The sequence below is a fragment of the Homo sapiens genome, chromosome 2 (assembly GCF_000001405.40).
Source record: "Homo sapiens chromosome 2, GRCh38.p14 Primary Assembly".
NCBI lineage: Eukaryota > Metazoa > Chordata > Mammalia > Primates > Hominidae > Homo > Homo sapiens.
Window position 1 is genome coordinate 119,529,646 of NC_000002.12, and position 27,118 is coordinate 119,556,763.

At 41.2% G+C, this 27,118-nt stretch overlaps 1 protein-coding gene across 12 annotated transcripts in view, besides 1 other annotated feature; it reads left to right on the top strand.

Moving 5' to 3' along the window:
- Positions 14,748 to 14,857: a silencer, noted in NCBI's record as "silent region_11906". NCBI's record gives its function as "represses an Ori minimal core promoter by ATAC-STARR-seq in GM12878 lymphoblastoid cells {active_cell/tissue: GM12878}" and the evidence as "EXISTENCE:reporter gene assay evidence [ECO:0000049][PMID:35858748]".
- The window catches only part of CFAP221 (cilia and flagella associated protein 221), a 115,875-nt gene continuing 103,560 nt past the window's right edge, over positions 14,804 to 27,118 (top strand). For 7 of the 12 annotated variants that reach the window (NR_073132.2, XR_922883.4, XM_006712353.4 and 4 more), the window contains exons 1-3: positions 14,804 to 14,865; positions 16,440 to 16,625; positions 19,440 to 19,540. Coding sequence is in view for 8 of the 12 variants with exons in the window: in XM_006712353.4 (XP_006712416.1) it covers positions 16,487 to 16,625; positions 19,440 to 19,540 (240 nt within the window). In the remaining 4 variants the exon portion in view is untranslated. Of the gene's footprint in view, positions 15,135 to 15,210; positions 15,344 to 15,428; positions 15,891 to 16,439; positions 16,626 to 19,439; positions 19,541 to 27,118 lie in introns of those variants that run through there. The other 5 variants (XM_017003551.2, XM_017003552.2, XM_017003553.3 and 2 more) reach the window with 5 other exon arrangements.

A 27,118-nucleotide genomic window follows, 5' to 3' on the forward strand; every position in this document is an offset into this window, starting at 1 on the left:
TCTGCCTCTGTCTCAGGACTGGGGTCAAAGTTTTTCTGCCTCTGTCTCACAGCGGAGGTTTGGGTCAAAGGATTGGCATTAGGCACCAGTGGTCTTGCTTTACGTAGCATACTTTCAACATTGCAGCTGCTTTCCTGTTTTTGAAATTCGGGTTTGATTTTTCATTTGTGACAAACTCCTTTGAGTTAACCAGCAGCTGGTTTTATGTACAACACTTATGGGGCATTGTTTTGTGGATGTCTAGGAGAGAGGACCCACCTAACCCAGGATGGTCATAAGCAACTGTGACCAAAAGAAAAAGTGGAGGGGGAATCTCTTGAAATACCTAAAGTAATTTATTTGCACACACAATCAGAAAAAACTGGCTGTAGAACCAGATAACTTAAATACGGGACTTGCCCCCAGTGGCACCCAAAATCCTTTAAAACAAATTCTGAGAAAAATTGCCTTCATTCAGGAGGCAAACCAAAGATGTCCATCACCAACACCTGAAGAAGTTCCCCAGGTCTTTGAGCCCCTGCCTGAAACTCCTACTGTGGCAGTTCCAGAGTCACTATGAACCGCATCTGGTTCTGAACCGTTCTGTGCCCAATTAAAAAGGGCACTCAATGAACAAGATGAGTCTCCAAAACACAACTTTGTTGCCCAGCTGACAATTGCTTAGGGTAATAAAACAGGTAATTAAAAGATTAATAGTCCTTTAAAGGGGGAAATGGATGAAAATAAAAGTGTTGAGCTTATAAAAATGCAGATCCAACAAATCTTTCCTAAACCAGAAGTACTCACTGACACTGATGTTGAAAGGCTAATATCCAGGGAATTTGCTAAACAATATTAGATCTGAAACAAGTTAAAAATCCTTTAAATGCGGCCAGGCATGGTGGCTCACTCCTGTAATCCCAGCACTTTGGGATGCCCAGGTGGGCGGATCACCTGACGTCAGGAGTTCAAGACTAGCCTGACCGAAACATGGAGAAACTCTGTCTCTACTAAAAATACAAAATTAGCCAGGTGTGTGGCACATGCCCATAATCCCAACTACTTGGGAAGCTGAGGCAGGAGAATCGCTTGAACCCGGGAGGCGGAGGTTGCAGTGAGCCAAGATTGTGCCATTGCATTCCAGCCTGGGCAACAAGAATGAAACTCTGTCTCAAAAAAAAAAAAAAAAAAAAGAGCCTGAAAATAAATAATTAATTAATTAAAATTAAAATTTAAAAATCCTTTAAATGCTCAAACTACCTTCTTTGTATCACCTGCAAGATTTGCCAAAAGAAAAAAGAAAATAAGTAAATAAAAGCACTCCATCCTGTGGTCTAGTGGCAAGGATCTGGAATCTGGAGCTCTCACTGCTACGGCCGATGTTCAATTCCTGGTGAGGGAACCAGTTCCTTTTGGTTTGATGTTTGCATGACTTTTGACTTTTAGGGATATTGCTTTGCCACTTGGGAGGGTGTCTTTGGGAAAAAAGATTCAAAAGCCAGAAATATCAGCCTTTTGTCCTGGCTGAAATCTAATAATAAGAGATTTGAAAGGAATTTTTTTAAAAGGAGCTCTATGGCCAGACTGTTACACACACAGACACACACAGACACACACACACACACACAGCAGAAAAAAAAATTCTGGTTTTTCTCTTTGGATCTTGTTTTTTGGAATTTTTTTTCCAGTGGCCTGAAATTATGTGCTTGGTCCTTGTGTTTACTTCCCTTCTTAAGGATTGTTCTCTCATTTGCTTCTACTCTTCCCTATTCTTTCTTTCTCTTTGCTGCCTTCAGTACCACAGAAAGAATCTAGAGGTGACATCTAATGATTCGAACACTTTAAGGAACATAGGAAAAGTACCACTGCCCCCTTTTGGTGGTCTTCTGTCTTCCTGTAGAGTATAAAGAGTTGTAAACAGATTTTTCTCACGCCTAAAACTCTACTCTTTTGTATTGTGTTGCCTGATCTCTTTGGCTTTTGGGGATATCAGAGATTGCTTTGTAGTGTGAGAGAGAACTTGACGTTGGTGTGTGTGATGACTGGCAACAGCTGCAGTTTTGGAGGTGGCCAAGAGCACTTGTTTACAGTAAACAGTTATTACTACAGGAGACTACTTATTTCTTTGTGTTTAGATAAGAAATGTGTGGTTTAAACACTTATAATGTCTTTGTAGCAAAGTGCACTCTGAAAGTGTTGCATGTGCTTCCCTCTTTTTGGGGACCTGGAAATCAACGTAAAAGTGAGATCCTCGATCTTTAAGGGTCTAAATGTTCTGCCTTCAGTTGTGCCTGCTTTTCACATATTTAAATCATTAGGCGCTAAAAACTGTAAATGCTTCGTTGGTCCTTTGGTCCTCTTCCTTAATGGGCTCCACCCTGATCCCAGTGGTCCAGTTGGAAAACAGACACTAAATTAAGTGCTACCTTAATTTACTTGATAAAGTAACTTGATAAATACTTGATAAATAAACTTGATCTCTTTATAAAATTATATGGTAAATTCCTATGATTTTGTATTGCCTTGACATCCATTTTTAACGTTCCTCTAACACACCCAAACTCCTTGAAAAAGCTTAAATTCTCTCTGTCTCTCTGTTTTTTGTGTGTGTGTGTATGTTTGGAACGTAAATTGCTACCTTGCTTTCTCTAAAATTCAGTAAGTGCTTGGACCATGTGGGACAAATAACCTTTAACTTGTTCCATTTACAAAGGCATAGTTTGAATCCAGCTGTCCTTTTAAACCAGTGAATTTTATTTGTCTTGTGGCCAAAATTATAAAATCAATGCTATAAAGTTTTTGTGTCTATCTGTATCTTTACATGTATGTGTATATGTCTGTCTATAGACTGTCTACATGAGTATCAAATTGACTTATAAATAAATGAGTACTCATAAGTTAAGTAAATAAGCCCACATGCTTTTCAAGTACACATGACTTTAATAATCTTCAGCACATAAAGAGTTTCAATACTGTTGGCAAAATAAAATAGAAATGCCTTCAGATATTAATTTAGACATTTTTTCCTGGGTTTCCATTATAAACCTTCCTGAAGGTTTATAATATCTCTGCTAGATGTTTTTTTCAATCCCCTGGGTTTACCATGAGCTGCTTTCGATCTTCTGTCTTCTATCTATAAGGAGACACAAGGATTTGGGACCTTTGTCTGTAGACACTCAGGTGAGACCCTAGAAAATAAGGCCAGAAAGAAATGTGGGTTGTACTAACAAAACTTTCCTTTTTTTTTTTTTTTGTTCTGAGCTGTCTCCCCTTGTGAGTCCTTGGTTAAGTCATAATCTTCATTACAGTTTACTGGCTTTGGTAAGTCACTTAAAAGGTAACTTTGGTTTAAAAAAAAAAGTCAAAAAGTCATAAATATCAGCTGTGTGTCCCAGCTAAAATCTGATAATAAAATATTTAAAAGGAATTTTTTAAAAGAGCTCAATAGTCAAAAGTTTACTTAAAAGTTTACCCTCAAAGGGCAAAAGGGAAAATTTCCCTTGGCCCCTACAGTTTGGCACAGTTGGTAGGACCAAAGCTCTGCTCTTCTGGAAGCTACACTTAAGGGAATCCAAGGCCTGATTAGCCCTCTGAAAGTTCACTGAACAATCAACTCACAAAGCACAAATTAATTGGAGACAGGCATGCAAAATTTATTAACATGTGTACAGAGAACCACAGAGTGATTGCCTACTCCCCGAGAGAGTACAGAGGCTTATATATCATCTTGAGGTGACAGAAAGAATGGGGACTCAGAGCATGGCCAAAACCAGATTTTGGTGATAAATCAGATGATAGTGGCAAGACAGGTTGTAGGAGGGAGAGAAGAGGAGGCTTGGCTAGCAAAGTGGTCATGTTATGTGGATGAAACCTCACAGGAATTTCTATGGAAACAAAAGAAAAACAAAGGTTAATGGTTAGAACAAACTATAGTCTACAGTTTTATCTATCATTTTTCCTTCAATTGAAAACAACTTTTAAAGTGCTCTAATTAGATAAAATTACTTTCCCTTCAAGAAAAACCACACTTTCATGCTTTTATAAGCTCACAGAGAAATTAAGAAAGTATCAAAAATATCATAGAAGCAGCAGCTTTATGATCTTCAAGTTGAAGGTCTCCAGTAAAGACCTTCAAACTTCTAGTATAAACCTGTCTGACCAATAAACCCAGGCAAAGAATGTCTAAATTAAATTGTGAAGATTATTTTATTTTACCAAAAATTTGAAAACTCTATTTATTTACCAAAGGTTACTAAAGTCACACGAACTTGAAAAGTATTTGTGATAGTTATTTAATTTATGAGTACTCACTCATCTTTAATTTGGTATCATGTGTAGATAATATATAAACATATGTTTAGACATATACATGTATGTAGACACAATGTATAACATACACATGCATACATGTATGTATTTTAACACAAAAGAGATAAAGGAGTTTAATGTAAAAGAGAATAGTGCTTTAGGCTTGAGAGAAATTTCTCCATTTATAGCATATGAAGTTTCATGAGATAAAACAGAGGTTCCTTCCAAAAAGAGGAGTCACCATGTTGGCCAGGATGGTCTCGATCTCCTGACCTCGTGATCCACCCACCTCGGCCTCCCAAAGTGCTGGGATTACAGGGGTGAGCTACTGCACCTGGCCGAGGTCAGATGATTTCTTTATGGCCAGTTTTTATACAGAAAGGCAGAGGAAAAGTTAGAGTAATATTTTTAGGTTTTTGTGGTTAGCTTTGGAGAAAAGGAGTTCTGGTTTCCATGATCTACCTTAGGGAAAAGGACCTGTTCCAGTGGCTGGCCTTTGGAGAGAGCAGGACTGAGAGATAGGCGGGCAAGAGAAGGTCAGAGAAAAACTTTTGCTTCTGAGGCCTTCATTTTGGGCCACTGTTTTCTGAGTCTCAAAATCTTGTTTATTCCAAAATAGCCATAAGAGAGGAATTGAAATGTTCCCAACACATAGAAATGGTAAATACTCGAGGTAATGAACACCCCAAAGACCCTGACTTGATCATTACCTAGTCTAAGTATGTCACAAAATGTCACCCATACTCCATAAATATGTGGAAAGATTATGTATCAATAAAAACAAAAACAGAACAAAACGGAATAAGAAATCCTTTCTCTGTGTCTTTGAGATGTATGCAAATCTTTTTAAAACCTAAACAAGGCTCTTGCCAATTTGCATCCCAGGAATGTGTTTCTTGGAGGCCTTAGATCCATCTCCTTGAAATGTGAACACCCAGGAGATGGCCCCCTGTCTTCCTGTCTCTGTGGGGGTTTAGCCTAGGCATTTGGCTCTTCGTTGTGATTTCCTGCTTCTTACAATTAGGAAATCTGAAACGTTTTCTTTTTCTATTTGATAAAGACAATTACATGTTTATAAAAGATTATATCTGCCTGGCCATATAAAAGGGTGAGGTTTCTATCTGTCTTGGCAAACTCTTGTGGATTGCCAGTGATGCACATCACAGTCTGGCTTGATGCTTCTTTCATCATAAAATAGTTTCATTGTTTTCCTCATTTTGTGGAGCAGATTCACCAGGTTGACAGATCTTATTTTTAATTACTTTTCCAATTATGACTTATGTTTCTTTGTGTTTTTTCAACAGCAATAAACGCTTGTTGGAGAGCTAACTTTCAGTTGATGAGTATTTACTGAACGCCTACTCTGTCCCAGGTGCTATGCTAAGATGACAGAGACCTGAGGAAATTGCCTTTGGCAGCCCCAGACCCACATAAAGCCAGGGTGCTATGATAGCACCCCCTCTCAGGAGGCCCAGAAAGATGACTGAGACTAGGGTTAAAGAAATAAGAGACTTGCATAATCACATATTTAGCAAACCTATTGGATGGCTGACACTAGCAACTGCAGAATGTATGGTGGATGATATTGCAAATTGTGATAAATTATATGGTAATATATAATGAGGGACCGGGCCAAGCCTGGAGTATTAATGCATTAGCTTGAGTCAGATCAGCCATCATTTTTGCAGGTCAAATACATTTGAATATCAACAATGTTGTGAGATTCAAGTTAATAGACATCTGTTGGTTTTGCTGTCCAGTCTTCATTCCCCCTTCTTCTGGCATAAGAACCTCCTTTCCCGGATTCTTAGACCATGTAACTTGGGTGGGGCTTTCTCCATGAGCAACTGCAGGAGTGAGCACATGACCCAGGCCTGGATAAAGAGCTTCACCCCATCCTCCAACCAACTAACCACAGTGATTTCTTCAGGGATGGGCACAGGACTCAACCTGGACCAATAGGGGTGGCACCAGCAAAACCTATGTGTTGGCATTATGATCAAGCTAAAAGGAAGATGGTAGCCTTTTCTACAGCATGAGGAGATCCTGGCTGAGAATGAAGCCAACTTGGCCGGGGAGAACCAAGAGATAGAGTGGACAAAATCCTGATATCATCATGTAGCACCTAGATACAGCTGTGACTGACGCCTCTCTCTCTCTCTTCTCCTGCCCCGCACCCTCACCCCCTTCCCATATATTTCAACTGTTTAAATCAATTTCCATAACTTGTAACTGAAAGAGCCCTGACTTATACTTAGGGAAGTCTCTCTGGTGAAGTGATCTTTGAGCTGAAGGGGCTGATTTGGGGCCAGGAGTGAGGGTAGGGGATGGTGAGGGGGAAGGAGAGTTCTGGGAAGGAAGTGAGAAATTGGCTACCCCTGCGTGTCTGGGTCTAAGGTCTTCACCACATGACTACACAAGTGCAATAAACTTGCTCTGCCCCGTTGCGGTGTTGAATAAACCAAACAAAACGATCTGCCCTCTCGTGAATGTCAGCTTTACTGGGAGCTGAGCTAATGTATTATTGATGAGGCATAAATAATGGGACAAGCATGATTTCCTATTCAGTCCAGAAGTACAAAGGTATAACACTAACATTTTAATGAGGTTTCTATGGCCCAGGCTCGCTGTTTACACTCTGGAAATGTGGACTGGCTTTCTCAGGAAAGCAGGCTTTTCTTTACTTTTCTTATTTCTCTCCTCCATTTGTCAGCATCCTTTTGAATATTTATATAAATTATTATAATTAACACAGATCGAATAAAAGAGAGCAAATAAGAACCATGCCTGAAAGGCACTGTTACTAGTCTTCCCAAGGCCTTATCTTCACTGGATGGAGCAAAGAAAGGTCAGGTGTACCCCCACCTCCCAGAGACTCCCCACATTTCTGCCTGATAAGGCCTTTGAAACAAAGACAAGAATGTTGACAGCAGACAAATCTAGTTTCAATAGTCCTCACTCAAACTGGCTGAAACAGCAATTAAGTTGTTTCTTGGCTCACATAACGAGAGTGCAGACACAGAGCCTGTTTCAGGGTGGACTCATGCATGGACCAGCCTCTGTTTGCCTATGGTTCTCTTGGCTCTGCCCTCCTTGGAGTTGGATAACACCAGGATGGTGGCCAGGTGGCTACAGCAGTTCTGCAGCTTCACATCCACAATTACCTCCAGAAGAACAGACTGTGGTATTCTATCAAAAATGTTGACACTCGGTTGGGCGCAGTATGGCTCACACCTGTAGTCTCAGCACTTTGGGAAGCCAAGGAGGGCTGATCACCTGAGGTCAGGAGTTCGAGACCAGCCTGGCCAACATGGTGAAACCCCATCTCTACCCAAAATACAAAAATTAGCTGGTGCGGCAGCACACACCTGTAGTCCCAGCTACTTGGGAGGCTGAGGCAGGAAAATCGCTTGAACCAGGGAGACAGAGGTTGCAATGAGCCAAGATCGTGCCACTGCACTTCAGCCTGGGCAACAGAGACTCCATATCAAAAAAAAAAAAAAAAAAAGATGTTGACACTCCTCCATCCAAAGGTAGTCTATGTTTCCTCTTCTTAGAACTGGGTGGGCATTCATAACTACCTCAACTAATGGATGAGGTGGATGTGATGCTGTATGACTGACTTCTAAGCCTAGGTCATAGAAGGGAATACAGCTTAAGCCTGGCTCTCTCCTGGGACACTTGCCATTGGGACCTGCGGCCAGGTTGTGAGGGAGTCTGGCCACATATGACTGTGTTGTCAGGCTCCCAGCTGACAGCTTTAGTATCAACCACCAGATGATGCTGTGGGCAGTCAGAATATGCCACCCCAGAACATCCTTTTTTGGCATATTTCAAGTTGATTATTTAGAGAACTGCAGATAGGAATAGTTCTGAAAGCTGTCCTTTTATAAAGGAAATTTATATTTATCTACAATAGTAAAGTAAACAGCAGATGCAAGCAAAGCTTTTTCTCTGAAGCCCCTTTATTTGCCTAAAGAAGAATGAGGGTCTGATATCTTCCCAAGACAGAGATTACCACAGGCAATCACCTATTCTTTTGATGGCTGTTACCTGACCTTATCAGCACAATAAGATAACCTTTGCTCACAGTGCATTTCCTCCCCTCACCCTCCAATAGTTTGTCACCAGCATCTCCCAGGAGCCTTTAATTCTCTTTTTATAACTCAAAATACTATCTGAGCTTCTAGACCTCATTGGGTTATTGGGTACTCACTTTCTTGTGATACCTCAGTGCATGTAAATAAATTGGCATGCTTTTTCTCCTCTTAATCTTTCTATTGCCTGTATATTTCAGACCCAAACCTTCAGAGGGGAAAGGGAAAAAATTTCCTTTGCCTCTATGATGACTTTAGAAGATTCTATCTTCCAGCTTTCATATTTTCCACCTGGCGCCCCAAACATCCATGGAGCAGAAACAAACCATCTCCGCTGTGTCTTGTCTAAATTTCCATCCCAGAAAAAACATAAGAAAAGATAAAGGATTATAGTTGTTTCAAATCACTAAGTTTTGGAGTAATATGTTATGGAGCAATAGATAATAAATACAACATAATTTTTAATTCTGAAAGGTGAAACCTATTAACAGCACAGTCAAATGACAAACTGGGAAAAAATTTTGCGACAGTTATCACAGAACAAAAGATGAATGTTTCTATATATAAAGAGCTCCAACAACTCAATAAGAAAAAGACCAAAAGCCAAATGGAAAAACGGGTAAGGGACATGGCTTTACAGAAAAGAAAACACAAACGTCTCCTAAACATATGAAAACATGCTCATCATTAGAGAAATGCAAAATAAAACCTCACTGAAATACAATTTTTCACCATCAGATTGACAAAAATGTAAAAGTTTTATAATATACTCAGTGAGGCTGTAAAGAAACAAGCACTCCTATGCATTACAAATAGGAGTAGAAATTAATACAACACCCATGCAAGACAATTTAGCAATAGTTGTCAATATTACAAATGCACAGATTTTTTGACTTAGCAATTCAACTTTGGAAACTTTTCCTACAGATATACTCGTATGTATATGAATGGATATATATGTGTCTGTAGAAGTGATGTACACATCTATACAAATAATTAAAACATTGCTTATAATAGCAAAAGTTCAGGAACAACCTAAATATTCAACAATGGGGAACTAGTTAAAGAAATATGGAATGTTACGTAGTTATAAAAAAGAATGAGGAGGTACTTCATGTACAGATATGGTATAATCATTCAGATATATTTTTAAGTGAAGAAAAGGGAGACAGAAAAGTAAGCAATTTGGGCTTTTTAAACAATGGGTAAGGCCAGGCACAGTGGCTCACACCTGTAATCCCAGCACTTTGGGAGGCCGAGGTAGGCCTCCCTCAACACTTGAGCCCAGGAGTTCCAGACCAGCCTGGGCAACATGACCAAACCTTGTCTCTACAAAAAAATTATGCCCGCATGGTGGTGCATGCCTGTGGTCCCAGCTACTCAAAAGGCTGAAGCAAGAGAATCACCTGAGTCTGGGGTTCCGTCAAGGCTGCAGTGAGCCATGATCACACCATTGCACTCCAGCCTGGGTGACAAAGAAGACTCTGTCTCAAAAATATATAAATAAAATAAGCAAGAGATAAACTTCTTACAAATATAAGCATACACACAATTGTTTTGATATGTATAATATATTCCTGTAAAGATAAATTCTGATCTGGTAACATGAGTTACCTCTGGGAGAGAGAACTTGATGGCAAAAGGCAGAAGAAGGAGAGAGATTTTTCACTTCTTGAATTTTGAACCACATGACTATATTACCCATATTCCAAAGATATATATAATTTAAACTTTAGAAATCACTTGGCATAACTCATTAATTAGTTACTTCTGCAAATATTTTTGAGGTCCCAGGATGTGCCAGGTAGTGGACAAGGCACTGCATACACTGTGGTGAACTAGTCAGCCTTCACTGAACTTACAGTCCAAGAAGGCAGATGTCAAAGAGGTCAACCCAGCAGCTATGGTCTGAATGTGTCTCCCAAAATTCCTTTGTTGAAACCTAACCCACAAGGTGATGGTATTCAGAAGTTAAGCCTTTTGGAACGTGTTAGATTATGAAGGTGAAGCCCTCGTGAATGGGCTGAATGAAACTGGCATAAGTGAAATGGGCTTATGAAACAGGCGTAAGGGAGCTCATTTACCCCTTCCACCACGTGAGGACATAGCCAGAAGTCTCCATCTATGAACCAGAAAGTGGTCCCTCAGCAGACACTAAATGTGCTGGTGCCTTGATCTTGGACTTCCCAGCCTGCAGAACCATGAGAAATATATTTCTGTTGTTTGTAAGGAACCCAGTCTAAGGGGTTTTGCTACAGCAGCCAGAATGGACTAAGACAGCTATGAAGGGAAAGAACACAGTACTGGAGACAGCACCAAGGTGCAGGACCTGATACAGAAAGAAAGCCAGGAAAAGCCCCACTGAGGAAGAAACCCTTAGGCTGAGTAGGAATCAGCCAAGTTTCTGGTTATTTATTGCTACAGAATAACCTACTATCCCAAAACTCAAAGGCATGAAACAACATCATTTTATTATATCTCACAAATTCTGGTGTCAAGAATTCAGGTAGGACGCCACTGGGCAGTTAAAGCAGTCATAGACCCACCCAGACTCAAGGGGAGGGGACAGGGACCCCACCTCTTCATGGAGCAGTGGCAAAGAATTTGCAGCCAGCTTTCACTCTCCATACCAGGCAAAGGGGAGGTGGGGAAACACAATGAAGCAGGGCGAGGAGGAGGCAAATCAAGGGGCCAGCAGCCAGGTCCTACAAAGCCCTAAAAGACTGTTAAGGATTTTTTTTGCCAGCCACTGTGGCTTGCACTTATAATCCTAGCATATTGGGAAGCTAAGGCAGGATCACTTAAGTCTGGGAGTTCAAGACCAGCCTGGGCAACACAGTGAGACTCTGTCTGTACAAAAAGTTAAAAAAAAAATTAGCCAGGCATGGTGTCATGCACCTATAGTCCTAGCTATTCTGGGAGGCTCACCTGAGCCCAGGAGTTCAAGGCTGTAGTGAGCTATGATGGCGCCACTGCACTCCAGCCTGGGCAACAGGGCGAGACCCTGTTTCTGTTGGGTGGCGGGGAAAGAGTGTTAAGGATGTTGAATTTTCTCTTCTGTACAATTTGAAGCCACCAAGGGGTTTTAAGCAAGGAAATTAACGGCTCCCCACGTATTACTGAAGCTTATAGCTTCCAAGCCTTTTATCACGCTTGTCTTATTGCACTCATATGGCAGATGCTGGGACACCTTTGTGTTCCACTCATTGTAAATTCTATAAGTGAATTTAAATTCAATGAGTGAATTGTGTTCACTCATTGAAATAAATAAATGTGGACCACATAAATAAATGGATTAAATAATTGATTATCTAATATAGCTATAATTATAGGGCTCCATCAGTTTAATTATTCTCAAACTTTAATGTGCCTATGAATCTTCTGGGGCATCTTATTAAAATGCAGGTTTTGGTCCAGTAGCCTGAACCAAAGTCTGGTATAGCCCAAAACTCTGCATTCCTAACAAGCTCCTGTGCCACAGTTTACACCTTGAGAAGTAAGTGTCCAGAAGTCATTATATGTCAGTTGTTTTCAGTGGGAAGAAAGAGAAAATGGAATGCAAGGACCAAACAAATAGAAGTGAAGTGACATCATCCAGCCCCAGGGTCTCTCTGTCTCCTTGTTCTCCTGTCCTTGTCACCTCTTTAACACTTGGGCCCCTCATGGCCTCTGATGGCAGCTGCAGTTCCGGGATCATTTCCTGACACTAAGAAGTCAAGAAGAAGAAAGATACTGTATCTATGTATATCTTCTTAGGAGAAAGAAAGTCTTTTCCAGAGGTCCCCAGAACCCTTTTCCTGTCCCCGTGGCCAGAATGGGGCTACATATACAACCCTAACTAAATCATGGGCAATGTCGGCAAGGGGATCAGGAATTCCATACTTGGCCTGGATTGCATTGTTTTGTTTTGTTTTGAGACAGGATCTCTGTCACCCAAGCTAGAGTGCAGTGTCATGATCATAGCTCACTGCAGCCTCCAACTCCTGTGCTCAAGCAATCATCCCACCTCAGCCTCCTGTGTAGCTGAAACTACAGGTGTGAGCCACCACATTGGGCTAATTTATAAAATTTTTTGTAGAGATGAGATTTCACTATGTTGCCCTGCCTCCTCTCAAACTCCTGGGCTCAAGTGATCCTCCCACCTCAGTATCCCAAAGTGCTGGGGATTACAGGCATGAGCCACCATGCCTGGCCTGGCCTAGATTAATCAAGGTCTACTGTTAGAATTGGGGACTGGGGAGAAACTTCAGGAAAGCTGTGGTTCCATTAGAAAGAAAGTGGAAGGAGGCAACCAGCAGTGTCCACTACACTATAAAATTCAAATGGGTTTACTTCTTATACAGAGACCTATGGGTTATCCATATATATAATAGGAACTTTGGTGATTTTTCTTAAAAAAGTTAAATACCAATTAAAAAGTGTTACCCAATATCCATTAAAAAGCATATGGAGTCTAAGGCAGAAAAATTGCTTGAGGCCAGGATTTCAAACCAAGCCTTGGTAACACAGCAAGACCCCCACCCCTACAAAAAATTAAAAATAAAAAAGTATATGAAAACAAATATCTCATGATTTGTGCTGGATGGAGAGGTCTGGGACTGTGGGAAGCATAGTACCTGTTCTGAAATCTACAGCTTTGTACCAACAAAACAGAAGGAACTAAAGCAACCTACTCTATAAACAAATGAATTGTTTCACCCCCTTGGCCAACAGTTACTGAGTAATCAATATGGACAAAGAACTGTGTCAAGGTGGCCGAGCGCCGTGGCTCATGCCTGTAATCCCAGCACTTTGGGAGCCGAGGCCGGTGGATCATCTGAGGTCAGGAGTTTGAGACCAGCCTGGCCAACAAGGCGAAACCCTGTCTCTACTAAAAATGCAAACAATTAGCTGGTCGTGGTGGCGGGCGCCTATAATCCCAGCTACTCGGGAGGCTGAGGCAAGAGAGTCTCTTGAACCCGGGAGGCAGAGGTTGCAGTGAGCCAAGATTGGGCCATTGCATTCCAGCCTGGGCAACAAGGCAAAACTCTGTCTCAAGAAAAAAAAAAAAAACTGTGTCAAGGGCTCTGGGAGATCCTAAGACAAGGTACAGTTCCCTCCCCCAAGAATTCTGCAGTTTAAGTCACAGACATGAATCATGTTGGGTGCAATATAAAGATAGTGGAACAGAGGGTTATGGAAGCCCAGAGGAGGGAAAGAGTCTTTCCGGACTGGTGGGTTAGAAGGAGGGTGGGGAGGAGAGGAGACCTTATCTACAGCTAGCCTTGAAAGATGGGGAGATTTTTAGTAAGTAATAATGGTAGGGGACAGAGAGGAATTGGAGAATGGGAAGATGGAAAAAATGAACATTTCCCATTGGGAAAGAGCAGGGAGGGAATATACGCATCCAGCACAAGTGGCAATGTAGGCAAGACAGGTACCCTCACTGGACTCTTACTATAGCCTCTCGTCAACATGAAGCCATAAGTAACATCAAGCAAGTATCAAAGCCACACAAGGAGGGAGTGAGACAAGGACAGTTCCTGGGAAAAGAGAAGCTTAAGCTGTCTTTGAAAAAAAATAATATTCATGGATGAGCAGGGTGGAATGGACCAGGGCAGGAGGTCAGAGGAGCGGGCACGGTTTCATGTTTACAACCCCTAAATATCAGTATCAAGGACATAAACAGTTTCTTCAATGAATAAATTGCAACAACTAACAAAGAAATGAAAGAGGAATCTGTTGATGAAAAGAGACCTAAAAGACACATCAATCTATTCCAATTTGCAAATTGTATTTGAATTCTGATTCAAACTCTAAAAATAAATATGAGATAATTTGAAGATGTTAATAAATTATAATTTTTAAGGTATTGTGGTTTTTTTAAGAATCCTTATCTTTTGGAGGTATATTTTGAAATATTTATGGATGAAATATCTGGGATTTTCTTCAAAATAATACAAGGAGTCAGGGAAAGATACGGATGAAACAGGATTGGCTAGGATTTGATCATCGTTGCAGCTGGGTGTTGAAGATCTATTTTACCCTTCGGTCTGCCTTTGTGTACGTTTGAAATTTACCGTAACAGAAAATGTAAAACAAACTACAAGAAAGTGGGCGTCGTGAGTGATGCCTGTCAGGTGAAGCCCCGCCCACTGGCTCGGGCGGCTCCGCCCCGTCCGTCTTCTCTCCCGCGCTCCGCTCTTGAAGGGTTCCAGTGTGTGGTGTTTCCAACTTTCTCATGTCCCCTCGGGAATCCATTCGTATCCCATGCCATAAGTCGCGCTGTCTATTCTTGACCAGGCCCGGCAAACTGCTCCGAGCTCCCAGGAATCACCCGCCGCCTCCGGTCGTGGCCCGCAGCAGCCCGGCTCCCCCGCCCTGGGGCGTTTGGTCGCGCCCGGCCGCCGGCCCTGGGAGCGCGTCCGCGTCGTCATGGCGACGCTCCGAGCGGGCGCCGGCGCTGGCGCCGGCCGAATCCGGCCCGGGAACCACCTCCAGGGTGAGCGGCCAGGGACCTGGGGCCCGGGTGGCCCAGGGTCGGCCGCTGGGGCGCCGCAGCCTAGCTGCTGAGGCGACCGAGCCCCGGGTGGTGTCCAGCCGCAAGTCGGCCGCGGCTTGGGTCCGAGGAGAGTCGGGCCCAGAGGGTGACCTGAGGATGGTGGGGGGAGCGGTGCGCGGGCCTGGGGCGACCCTGACCCTTAGCAGGAGTGGAATGAAAGGTCGCGGAGGGGAGGAGGCGCTTGGCCGGGGCGAGAGGGCCTGCCCGGGGTGAGAGAATGGGGCGAGGGAACGAGGGTGCGGCGGTGAGACCCGGAGCCAGGCCTACCGGGGCGGTGGGCGAGCCGGCGTGTGGGCGGCGTGGAGACCGCCTGGCTCCTGGGCCTGCCTGAAGCACAGGGGATGTGAGGCTCCGGGAGGAGACGGGCTGCAGGCTGATCCTAGGGCTGGCGTTGAAGGGCTGGAGGGAAGGGAAGCAGGTGAGGAGGGGGCCATGCAGCCTTCAGCGATGCTATGAGAGGTGGTGCGAGGGGAGGGGAGAAGAGGGGAGGGGAGGGGAGAACTTCTTTCTGAAAGTTATTGTTAAGCGCCTTCCTTCATAGATTCACTGCCTGTCGCTTGATGTTGTCCGTCTTGGGAGTCTGAAGCTATGGGTCTTCTCCAGAAAAAACAAAACCGAAAAAACACACAAAGATCCACACTAATTAACATTCCATTTCAGAGGCTTCGCCGACCAGCCCCATGGCCTGCGCAAGGGCCCCAAGTTAAGAGATTTAGTTGTGCAATATATAAGGGAATGTGAGATTTGTAAAATGTTGTTACAGGGTTATAAATTATTAACACCAAATGAGTAATAGAAGCAGTGATTGCTAAAGAATGTTAAAGTGTGTTGGGATCACTGTGAACTTCATGAAGAAAGTGGAACTTAAAATGAGTGTGTTAAGGGAAGGCAAATCGGACACAGGGTTCGACATGAATCAAGATCCACAGAGCTGGAATACCCCCATGTCTGGCACCTGGCTGGCCGTAGGTTTCACCACCTCCTCATCACCCCCTCCTCATCACCCTGTTAGCAGAGGGATGGAGGAGGGTGACTCTGAAATGCCAGTGTCCTGTAAACAGTGCCTCCAAATGTTAAAGGCTTCCATAGTCAAATATTCTAAGAAACTCATTTGGAGAAATCTCTGAAAGAAGAGTCTTATTTGGAAGTCTTATTTAACTGTTTACATCAATACTTTCCAAACTTGTTTGACTGAGAGCCTTTATTTTTCCCTTCTCGGGCCCCTGCAATGAACTCAAGAAGCATCTCAGAAGTACATTTCAGGAAAAGCTCCTGGGGAGAATCAAGGACCACAGAAGGGTTTGGAGCAATGGCATGACATTGGGTTGCAATGGGTTATGTAAGAAGATTAATGGGACAGCCATGTGTGGGAATGGAGTGGCCCGCAGAGAGGAGAGCCAGGGAGGGCATGAACCACAGTAAACCACACAGAGACGAGGTACATTTATCAAAGAAAGAGAAAAAATGTGCGTGGTTTCTCATGGATGATTATACTGCTGCTCTTTCCTCCCCAGGACATGACCTTTGGCTCTAAAAAGAAGACTCCATTTTTCATGATAAAATGGCAGTGGTGAAAACCCCCAGCAGAGGACTAAAGAATGCTAAAGAACCCTTTAATAATGCATCACCCCATCTCTTGAAGAACCTAGTGGAGGAGCCGAAAAAAAGAAAAGAAGTACCTAATCACCTCCTAGAATCAAGTAAGTGGCTAGAAGACAGATTTGCTTTACAGCTCACATCTTCCCAGGCGAGCCAAAGTCCAGAGAGCATAATGGGACTTTTAGTGCTGATTTATCTATATCATTTTATAGGCTTATACTAATTTTTATTACTAAGAACAGTAGTTCTATTTAGATCCATCTGCTTAACTGATAGGTTTTTGTGGGGTATGTAAATTAATCAAGTTCTGTTGCTTCTACTTCTTCTAATGTCTTTCCTATCTGCTCCCCTTATCTTGTTTCTCATGTTCAGCAGGCAGCTGGGACTCCTCCCCCACCACATTCTCCTCCTGTCAGTTTGCTTTCTAAAATCCTGGCTGGCTTTTATCCCTAATCTGCTCAAACTCCCAACAGTCCCCCTTGCATACAGAATAAAGTCACAATTCCTTTGCTTGGCCCCCTTCACTGTCTGATCTGAACCTGTCCACCCAGCACCATCCCCATCGCCATGCCCCACTCATTTCCAGCTCTGGCTACATGAGGTTCCTTCCTGTCCTTCGGACCACAGGCATTTTAGACCTTTTTGCCTTTTCATGTACATATCCTGTGTCTGGAAAGCCTGGGAAATCCTATAGCTATTATGGAAAAGGATAATCATTTTGCCTACATTTTTCCCATTCAATCCACACAACAATACATCATGAGGTAGGATCTATTTACGTTTTACTCTTGGAGAAGGTGAAACTCAAAGAGACCACATTATTTCCCCAACATGGCACACCTGGTAAGTGGAGAGCTGGTGTTCAGCCACCAGAGCCCTGGGTCTAGCTCTTAACATGCTTGGTTACCCACCACTCATCTTTTAAAGCCCATCTCAAATGTGAGGACATAATAGTGTATTTGGATATGCTTCTTTTGTCACTGTAGAACTTGTCAAGTGAAAATTGATATACTTGACCATTTCTGGGCATTAGAAGAAAAATGCCAGTTTTATATCTACTTCGTGGATCTAAAATAAAATCTTTCAACATTAAAAAAATCATAGAATAGGCCAGGTGCGGTGGCTCACTCCTATAATCCCAGCACTTTGGGAGGCCAAGGCGGTTGGATCATTTGAGGTCAGGAGTTTGAGACCAGCCTGAACAACATGGTGAAACCCCAACTCTACTAAAATACAAAAATTAGCTGTGTGTGGTGGCAGGCGCCTGTAATCTCAGCTACTTGGGAGGCTGAGGCAGGACAATCACTTGAACCCAGGAGGCGGAGGTTGCAGTGAGCCAAGATGGCGCCACTGCACTCCAGTCAGGGCAACAGAGCGAGACTCCCTCCCTCTCAAAAAAAGATAATCAATCAATAAAAATAAATATAAATAAATTTTAAAATTACGGAATATGGTAATTTCAGTGCTTAAAAATGACCAAATAATAACCTACAGAGATCGTCAGTTCCCCTACCACACCAGCCTTAACCCATTGTAGCTGTTCAGTTTGGCCCAAGTGGATGACAGTGACAGCTCACCTGGTGAGAAGAAAAAAACATCAAATGTTTCACACCCACTTCAGATGTATCCTAGAATTATGATGATCAAAGGGATGGGGTGAAGGTGTCTGTGCCTCATAAGATTTGGATGCAGTCAAAGTCAAATGTTATTATTTGTAAGAAGGTGGGCAGTACATTCATGAGGAAGGCAGATTACTGGTTGGAATCAGACAGACCTGGGGTTGATTTTTTTGTTTGTTTGTTTTTTGTTTTTTTGAGACGGTGTTGTTCTGTTGTCCAGGCTGGAGAGCAGTGGTACAATCACAGCTCACTGCAGTCTCAATCTTCTGGGCTCAAGTGATCCTTGCACCTCAGCCTCCCATGTAGCTGGGATCACAAGCGCACACTACCACACCCAGCTAATTTTAAAATTTTTTGCAGAGACATGGTCTCACTGTGTTGCCCAGGCTGGTCTCTAACTCCTGGGCTCAAGCGATCCTCCTGTCTCAGCCTCCCAAAATGCTGGGATTACATGTGTGAGCCACCATGCCTACCTTTTATTTTTGATTACCAGCTGTGGGCAAGTTTCTTAACCTTGCTAAGTCTTACCTCCTTCATCTGTAAAGTAGAAATAATACCTACCTCAAAGGGCTGGAGTGAGGATTATAAACAAATGTATGCATAGCACTGCCTGGCACAAAGCACTTACATAGAGTGGGTTCTCAGCACCTTCTCCAAACATCTGCTCCTGCCTAAATAAAGAGCTGGGAAAATTTTTGTAGACCTGGACACTTTTGTGAGCTCAGCCGTTTAAAAGGGACATTCACATGACACCAAAAGCAGTTTGAGACTTACTGTTCCGAGTGATAACTTTTCAGAGCTTTAAGTTTTAATATTACTCTACATCACATTGTAATTCTAATCAGAGGAAATCAAATAATAAAAGTTAAATACATAGTAATAAACTTAAGTGTGCGGTGTTTGGATACTTTGATCTGGGTATTCATTATGTAATAAGTAATCTCAGTGCTAGGCAGAGCAAAGACAGGCCATGTGCTCTTTATGAGCTGGTGATTTATGACAAAGATGTGTACAAAATGTGTGAAGAGCAAATTCTTTTACTAGGTAACAGACAATCTACCTGACTTTGTATTGTAATGATAGTATCTCCCAAGTGATGTTTAAAAATAGAGAGGGAGAAAGAGTTCAGTTTATTTAGAACAGATAATTAATCTTGTTGACAGCTGGATCCAATGTCTGCAATTTTCATATGCTTAAAATGCCCTAAATTAAAGAAAGCTATGTTAATAAGGATCAACTTTAATTTAATATTTTCTTTGATGTCTCATGATGTGCTTATCTACATTGTTTTTATAGAGGTTTATGCAAAACTTGTGAATAATAAGGTCATACAGGCAAGACCTGGCATAATACATTTTGGAGGCTATCAAGTAGAAAAACAACACCAACAGATTCTGGTAGGTACTTTTTAAATGGGATAATTAATCATCATAATGAAGTGACAAAAATGTTCTGAATTTATATTATTCACTTATCTAAAGCACAGCATAATCAGCCGTAGTGCAAGAGTAAATTGGGCCAGAAAGGTAGTTCTATGATGAGAAACTTTAAGGTTGCATCAATGTCTTGGACAAGTTACTTTCCTCTTGCCAAAGGCTCCCCTTGCACTCTTTCCAGATAGGTGTCATTGCTGAGTGACTCATAGGGGCCAGATGCTGTGCTTCATGATTTACATGATTTAATTTAATCCTTATGCTAGCTCTGTGGAGGCTGCATTATTCCTCTCATTATATATATAGATGAGGAAACAGAGACTCCAAAAGATTAAATAATTTATTCAAGGACATAGAGCTGCTTAGTGTCAGAGGCAGAATTTGGCTCCTGGGCTGCCTTTCTCCAGATCACTCTTGCTCCAGTCCTGTAGCACCAGGAAGAGGGGTGTCCCTTTCCTATGAAGCTCCAGCCAGGGCTTCCTTTTACCTGCGTGGGTCAGATGCCCATGCCTAATCAGTCACTCTGGCCAGAGAGAATCTGTCTAGGTCCAGGGAGGCAGGGGTCAGCCCCACTGAAGAACAGGCTCCTGAAGAGACAGCTGAAGGGCTGGACTGCAAAGTAGCCAAAGCCTATAGCAACTGCTGTTTAGCACAGAGCCACACTGAGGCCCAACTCTTGCTGGGTCCCCTTCATTGACCTGGATGTTGACTAGGGTGGGCTCTGCCTTACTTCAGCGTCCCACCTAAGCATCCTGTGCGTAAATGGACCTGAACAACCTCAGTGACTTCACCATGATCCCCTAGTCATGCCTGGCAGAACTTCTCAGAACTACTCCAGTTCGGCCCTAGATCCAGGCCAAACTGGCCCCATGTGTTGTTGGGGAGGGGCGGAGGTGGGCTCTTTGCACATGCGCCCTCTGAGACTCTGCCTTTGTGTGTGATGTCCCTCCTGTGGCCCTGTCTCCAGCCACCACAAGACTACTTTTAGATGTACGCATTCTTAGAAGCCGTATCTTAAGGTAGATTATTTTAAGAAAGTTCTATCACGTTCGATTGTTTAGAGTGAGGCAAAACACTGGAGGAAACTGACAAATAGTAAAGGTATCGGGAAGGAAATTTCCGTCAGGAAGACCCCAAAGAACAGAGGAGAACACAGTTTCCATGAATCCTTATACAATGAAGTGAGTAGCGAGAATAGATGAGGAGGGGAACCTGTTAGGTGCCAAGTATTTCCTCTTAGGAAAAGGATTAGGATTTGAAACTCTTATTAGGAACTTCACCCATCAACCTCCAAGGTCACATTTCTTACAACACAGCATCAAAGACCAAAGTTAATGATTCATTTTGAAGCCTACTGTTCGTGGTTATAAGGTTTGCTGTCTATGCTGTGGTAGGATAGATCTAAAATAATTATGATTCATAATTACTAATTGTTTATAAATGAAATATATGCCAAAGGCTAAGATAAAATTTTATTACTTGCTCCTTATGCTTTCTTTCTTTTCTTACTGCTTTATTGAGTGATCATTTATTACCATAAATTTACCCATTTACAGTATGTATACAATTCAATAATTTTTAGTGTATTCTCAGAGTTGTGCAACCATTGCCACAATCTAAGTTGAGAACATTTTTATCACTTGAAGAAGAAACCCCACACCCACTTTCAGTCACTCCTTATCCCCTATTCCCCTCCCACTCCCACCCTAGGCAATCACTCATCCAGTTTCTGTCTATAGATTTGCCTCTTCCTGGACATTTCATATGAACGCAATCATACAATACCAGGTCTCTTGTGACTGACTTCTTTCACTTAGCATAGTGTTTTCCAGGCTTATCCAAGTCATAGCATGTAGCAGTACTTTATCCCCTTTTATGGCTGAACAGCATTCCATTGTGTGGATAGATCACATTTGGTTTATCCACTTATCAGCTGATGGATGTTGGATTGTTTCCACATTGGGGCTATCATGAATGATGCTGCTATGAACATTCATGGGCTTGCTTTTGTGGACATATTTACCATTCCCTTGGAGATATACATAGGAGGAGCATTATTGGGTTATATGGTTTGTTAGCTTCCTGTGGCTGCCATACCACAAATTTAGGGTATTAAAGAAACAACTAACAAAGTCATAAAGACTTACTCCTGTGTTTTCTTCTAAGAGTTTTATAGTTTTAGCTTTCATATTTAGACCTATAGTTTATTTTGAGTTAATTTTTATGTATTATGTGAGGTAGGGGTTCAACTTCAATCTTTTGCATGTTCTACCATCATTTGTTGAAAGGACTATTTTTTCCCCATTGAATGGTCTTGGCCCTCTTGCTGAAAATCAATTTACTGTAAATGTAAGAGTTTATTTCTGAACCCCCGGTTCTACTCCATTGACCTGTATGCCTACACTGATGGAAGTACCACCCTTAATTACTGTAGCTTGTGGTAAATTTTGAAATCAGGAAGTGCGAGTCCTCCAGTTTTGTTCTTTTTCAAGACCATGTTGGCTATTCTGGGTTCCTTGCAATTCCAAATGAATTTTAGGATCAGCTTTTCAATTTCTGCAAGAATACTTTTGGGTTTTTGATGGGAATTGCATTGAATCTGTAGATCAATTTGGGGAATATTGCAACCTTAAGAATATTAAGTCACAATTCTTTTTTATAATAAATGTTTCGTAACTTTTGTCACTAGCCCTAGGATATTTTCCACCTGTGTGGGTTCTGAAGAGGAGGGCTCACCTTCCTTAAAATAGACTTTCCTCAGAATTACATAGTTATAATTAGCTTGCTAAGGGTCCTGTAGTTTCAAGAAATATTGACATTTTTTAAATGATGGCAACTATTAGAGTTAATAATGAACTGGTAAGTTAAAAGTTGCTATACCAAAAAAATTAACAACATAACACTTTTGGGTCACAACATAGCTTTTTAAAACTGGCCTTTTTTTTTTTTTTTTTTTTGCTTAGTATAATGTTAGTGATTCCAATAATGTTACTAAACTTAAAAATATTTCAGCCTCCTCATAATTTTAATCATATTATTGTACACTTTACTATTTATTTATTTCATAATAAATAGAAATATTTCTTTCTTTAATAAGAAATAAATAGAAATATTTCTTTCTTTAATAAGAAATAAATAGAAATATTTCTTTCTTTAATAAGAAATAAATAGAAATATTTCTTTCTTTAATAAGAAATAAATAGAAATATTTCTTTCTTTAATAAGAAATAAATAGAAATATTTCTTTCTTTAATAAGAAATAAATAGAAATATTTCTTTCTTTAATAAGAAATAAATAGAAATATTTCTTTCTTTAATAAGAAATAAATAGAAATATTTCTTTCTTTAATAAGAAATAAATAGAAATATTTCTTTCTTTAATAAGAAATAAATAGAAATATTTCTTTCTTTAATAAGAAATAAATAGAAATATTTCTTTCTTTAATAAGAAATAAATAGAAATATTTCTTTCTTTAATAAGAAATAAATAGAAATATTTCTTTCTTTAATAAGAAATAAATAGAAATATTTCTTTAATAAGAAATAAATAGAAATATTTCTTTCTTTAATAAGAAATAAATAGAAATATTTCTTTAATAAGAAATAAAGAGAAATATTTCTTTCTTTAATAAGAAATAAATAAATAGATAAGAAACAGCATATTATTTTGTTATCTCTAACGAAGTTGTACTCTCTGGTTGATGTTACCTTGTTTCTAATAGAGTTAAGGATTTTCTTCTGTTTAATTTCACCCACAGTTGGTGAGAGTCCCCATTACATGCCAAACAAAGTGTTGAAGCATTATGGGAAATGCTAAGATAAATAAAATCAAGGAGTTTTCCAAGTAGCAGAAAGTGTTTCAAAACCACCAAATAACTCAGACATGAGACCAGGCAAGCAAGGTGGCATGAGGAAGTCCAAAGAAAATGTTCTGTGGAGAAAAGGCACCGTTTCACCTCTGTAGGAGGGTGTTGGAGGCGTGTGGAGGAGAGGCCATTGGGGGTAGCCCAAAAGCCAAGTAGGAAGTGGGGAGAAGGGATTTGGGGCCCAGAGAAAGACATGCAGGGGCTTGAGTTGAGCCAACAAACGGCGTATTTGGAGGCTGGTTTGCCTGGATGGTAGGGCTTTGGAGCGGGTAATGGAGAAGGTGAGACATGTGGGTTGGGACAAGAATATCAACGTAAGGAACGTGCATGTGATTCAGAAAGCAGCAGGAAGTTAAGGAAGTATTTTTGAGCAGGGTTATGATGCATTTGAGGAAGATCAACTTAGTGGAATTTTAAAGGATAATGTGGTTCTCAACATTTTCTTTCATTAGCATCCCTTAGGGAGACATGAATGAGAGAAACTAAATACTAAGGAATAAGATTTTGTCAGGTAGGATTGAGCTTTGGAAGGTTGTAGCCATCACAATGTCTAAGATTCCTTTGTCCTCCCAAGAATCAGTTTTCACTTCCTTCCCTTGTGGGTAATTTCACCCCCACTGAGAATTCGTGGGGAGCAAGGGAGTATGGTTTAGTTATTGAAAAAGATATGAAGCCTCAGCTCGGCGTCATTCTGCTGCAGAATGGAGACCATGTCTGTCTTTCATATTGCTGCTTCCCCAGCACCTTGTGCAGTGCCTGACATGCAGAAGGCACCCAACAAGCCCTTGTGAGTGAAGGATGTGGAACTCACTTTAATGTAAGAGTTGTGAGGTTATTAGAAGAGTGGCAGAGGCTCATTAATTCCAAGTAAATACAATGTAAAGTCTAGGTGGTCATACTGCTTCGATCAGACATTAAATCAAACAAATAGATAAAAGTAAAGTGATTTCATCTTAATAACATTCTCGGAAATCTTGGGAGAGCCAGCCCCCTGTTTCCACGGCAAAGTGAAGCGGAAGCTTAAGGCAGTTACCTTGAAATTCTTGCCAAACAAGGTGGAAAATCCAACAACTGCTTTTATCTTGGTTTTGCTACAGCAAACTATGCAAATTGCCCAAGAATGGAATGACTGAATGTGTATTTAAAACCACAAATAAATTGTTCATTAACATTTCAGATCAATCCAGATCTGGCTAAAGGATCTGAAACATTTTGCTTGCATTCATGTTGAAATCAGTGTTTCAATTTACTTTAAAATTTGAAATAATGGTCCCTGGTTTTCTCAAAACCAAGACCCCTTAAATTTGTTTTTACCTTTGTGGAGTGATTTGGTCCTGGAAATTATTAAGTAAATAATCCATCAATTTTCCTTTAAGACAACCAGTGTTGCTATTGCCAGCCCAAAACAAAATTGTTAGCCTAAAAAGTCTTACCTTAAATAAATGAACAGTTTCTTCTGGCTTTGTCAAATAATATTTGTTTTTACATCAGTTTACATTAGAGACCTATTCTATTACAGCCTTAGAGACCCTGAAGATCTTGCATCTCAAAATCAGGGCCATGAATCGCATTGGCTTCTCAGTGTGTGGGGTTGGGGGAATTGAAGCCACAGTATAAACATAGTACGTCTTTCTAGAGCATCAATTTTACTCTTGCATTTTGGAGAAATGCAATATAGAGCAAAATTTTAGAGTAAATGCATGACCAAGATGCATTTTAAAATAAAACGCTTTAAAGAACTTATAAGGCTGCTTGAATTTGTCCTTGGATCCCTTATGTTAAGTATGAACCTTCTTTGAGAAGCTGTGTCACTGAACTTGCAGGCCAAAGTGTTGTGTTTGAAGGTTGTGTTTGAAGGGTCGGGACCCACTCCAAGCCAAGACTTCACTGGAGGGCAGGTTCTGCCATTCCCTCTAGAAGGAGGAGAATAGACTCCCCCAAGGAGACACAGAAGGGAGCCTGAAGCAGCATGGGATTGGGGGTGAAGAGAGCTGTGAGCCCTCTTGGGGAAATTCCTACAAATCCTGAGTAATGGCTGTTAAACTTATGACTATTTTATGTGTGGTTGATGGTTTTTGTGGGGTTTTTGTGGAGTGGGAAGCGGTTCTGAAAAACTCTAGAAGGGGCTGAATTTCACTTTGGAGTAAATATGGTGCCCTGTGGAGACAGCACCAAGGAAACAGGGACCCCCAGGCCAGCAGAAGGTCAGCTCCCAGGGGAACAGAGATTCCGGAGGGACTAGGAGTTCTACTGACCAAAAATTGAAACACAGGGTAGGATTTTAGGCAATTTTATGTTGCCTAAGGGTAACGCTGGATTACTTGTGTTTTGTTATGTTTTCAAATAAACTCTTCATATTAATTTAACATACACTTTCTAAGCACTTTATTCATTTTCCCAAGGTTTGTTTTTCCTTTGAATGATTATTATTTTCCCCAGTTTTAGTTATAAATGGAAAGGCAGGACTGCCATTTTATCCCTGAAGGGATATTATTTATAACGATCTAAAAATAAAGCTGATCTGCTGATAAAGTATTAAAAAAAAGACAGGAAATGCAGGCTGGGCACTGAGATGTGCTGAGCCATGAGACGGTAGGATGTAGTGGAAAGAGCCCTAGCCCAGAGCTGGAGACCAGGTTCTAGGTCCAGGTCTTGCACTCACCCTGTGGCATGGACAGTACCAGGTCACTGTGTCTTCATGAAATAAGGACATTGCACAAAATGGCCTCTGCAGTCTTCCTGGGCTCAGACAAATCTTTGAGAGGACAAAGAACATGGATGATTATGGGAAGCAATGAGTATTTGCAACCAAAAATTGAGAACTGCAAAATTAATAAAATCTTCCTATTTTGGAAGTCAGGCTTTTGGATGTTGACTTTGTTTTCTAAAGTGTAGAAAATAAGCTGTTCATTTTTGCTATAATTTGTCATGTTTTGTTGTTGTTTTAAGTTCACTGAAAAAGCTCATTGGCACGATGTCCCCTGGAATTGTCTTAGACATTATTTGGTTGAAATATCCCTGCCCGCACCATCACTATGTCTGCTGACTGCCTTCTCTGCCATCCACCACGTGGATCACAGCTCACTGCTGCCTCAAACTCCTGGGCTCAAGTGATCCTCCCACCTCCGCCTCCCAAGTAGCTGGGACTACAGGTGTGAGCCACTGCACCCAGCTGTCCAGGCCTTCAGTCTCCACTAGTCTCCATTTCACTTCAGATCTTAAGCAGAAGCTGAACGTTTTCTTCCTGTTTCTGAGCTCCTATTAACTAAATATCTACAGTTTTGTTTGAGTCTGTTGTTTCTTATTTCTCTGTTGATCCAAATGAACAATTCCAGTTCAAGAATCTTTTAAAGGTGGACATGGGAAACTATAGTCAAATAATGTATCTTTTATTATCACAAATTGGATCTATGTTGTTTTATTCTCTAAGAAAATCATCTAGTATTTTCTTATTGCTAAATTTTTTTTCTTTTTTTTTTTTTTGAGACAGAGTTTCACTCTTGTCACCCAGGTTGGAGTGCAATGGCGCGATCTCAGCTCACTGCAACCTCCACCTCCCAGTTCAAGCGATTCTCCTGCCTCAGCCTCCCGAGTAGCTGGGATTACAGGCTCCCACCACCACGCCCAGCTATTTTTGTATTATTAGTAGAGATGGAGTTTTACCATGTTGGCCAGA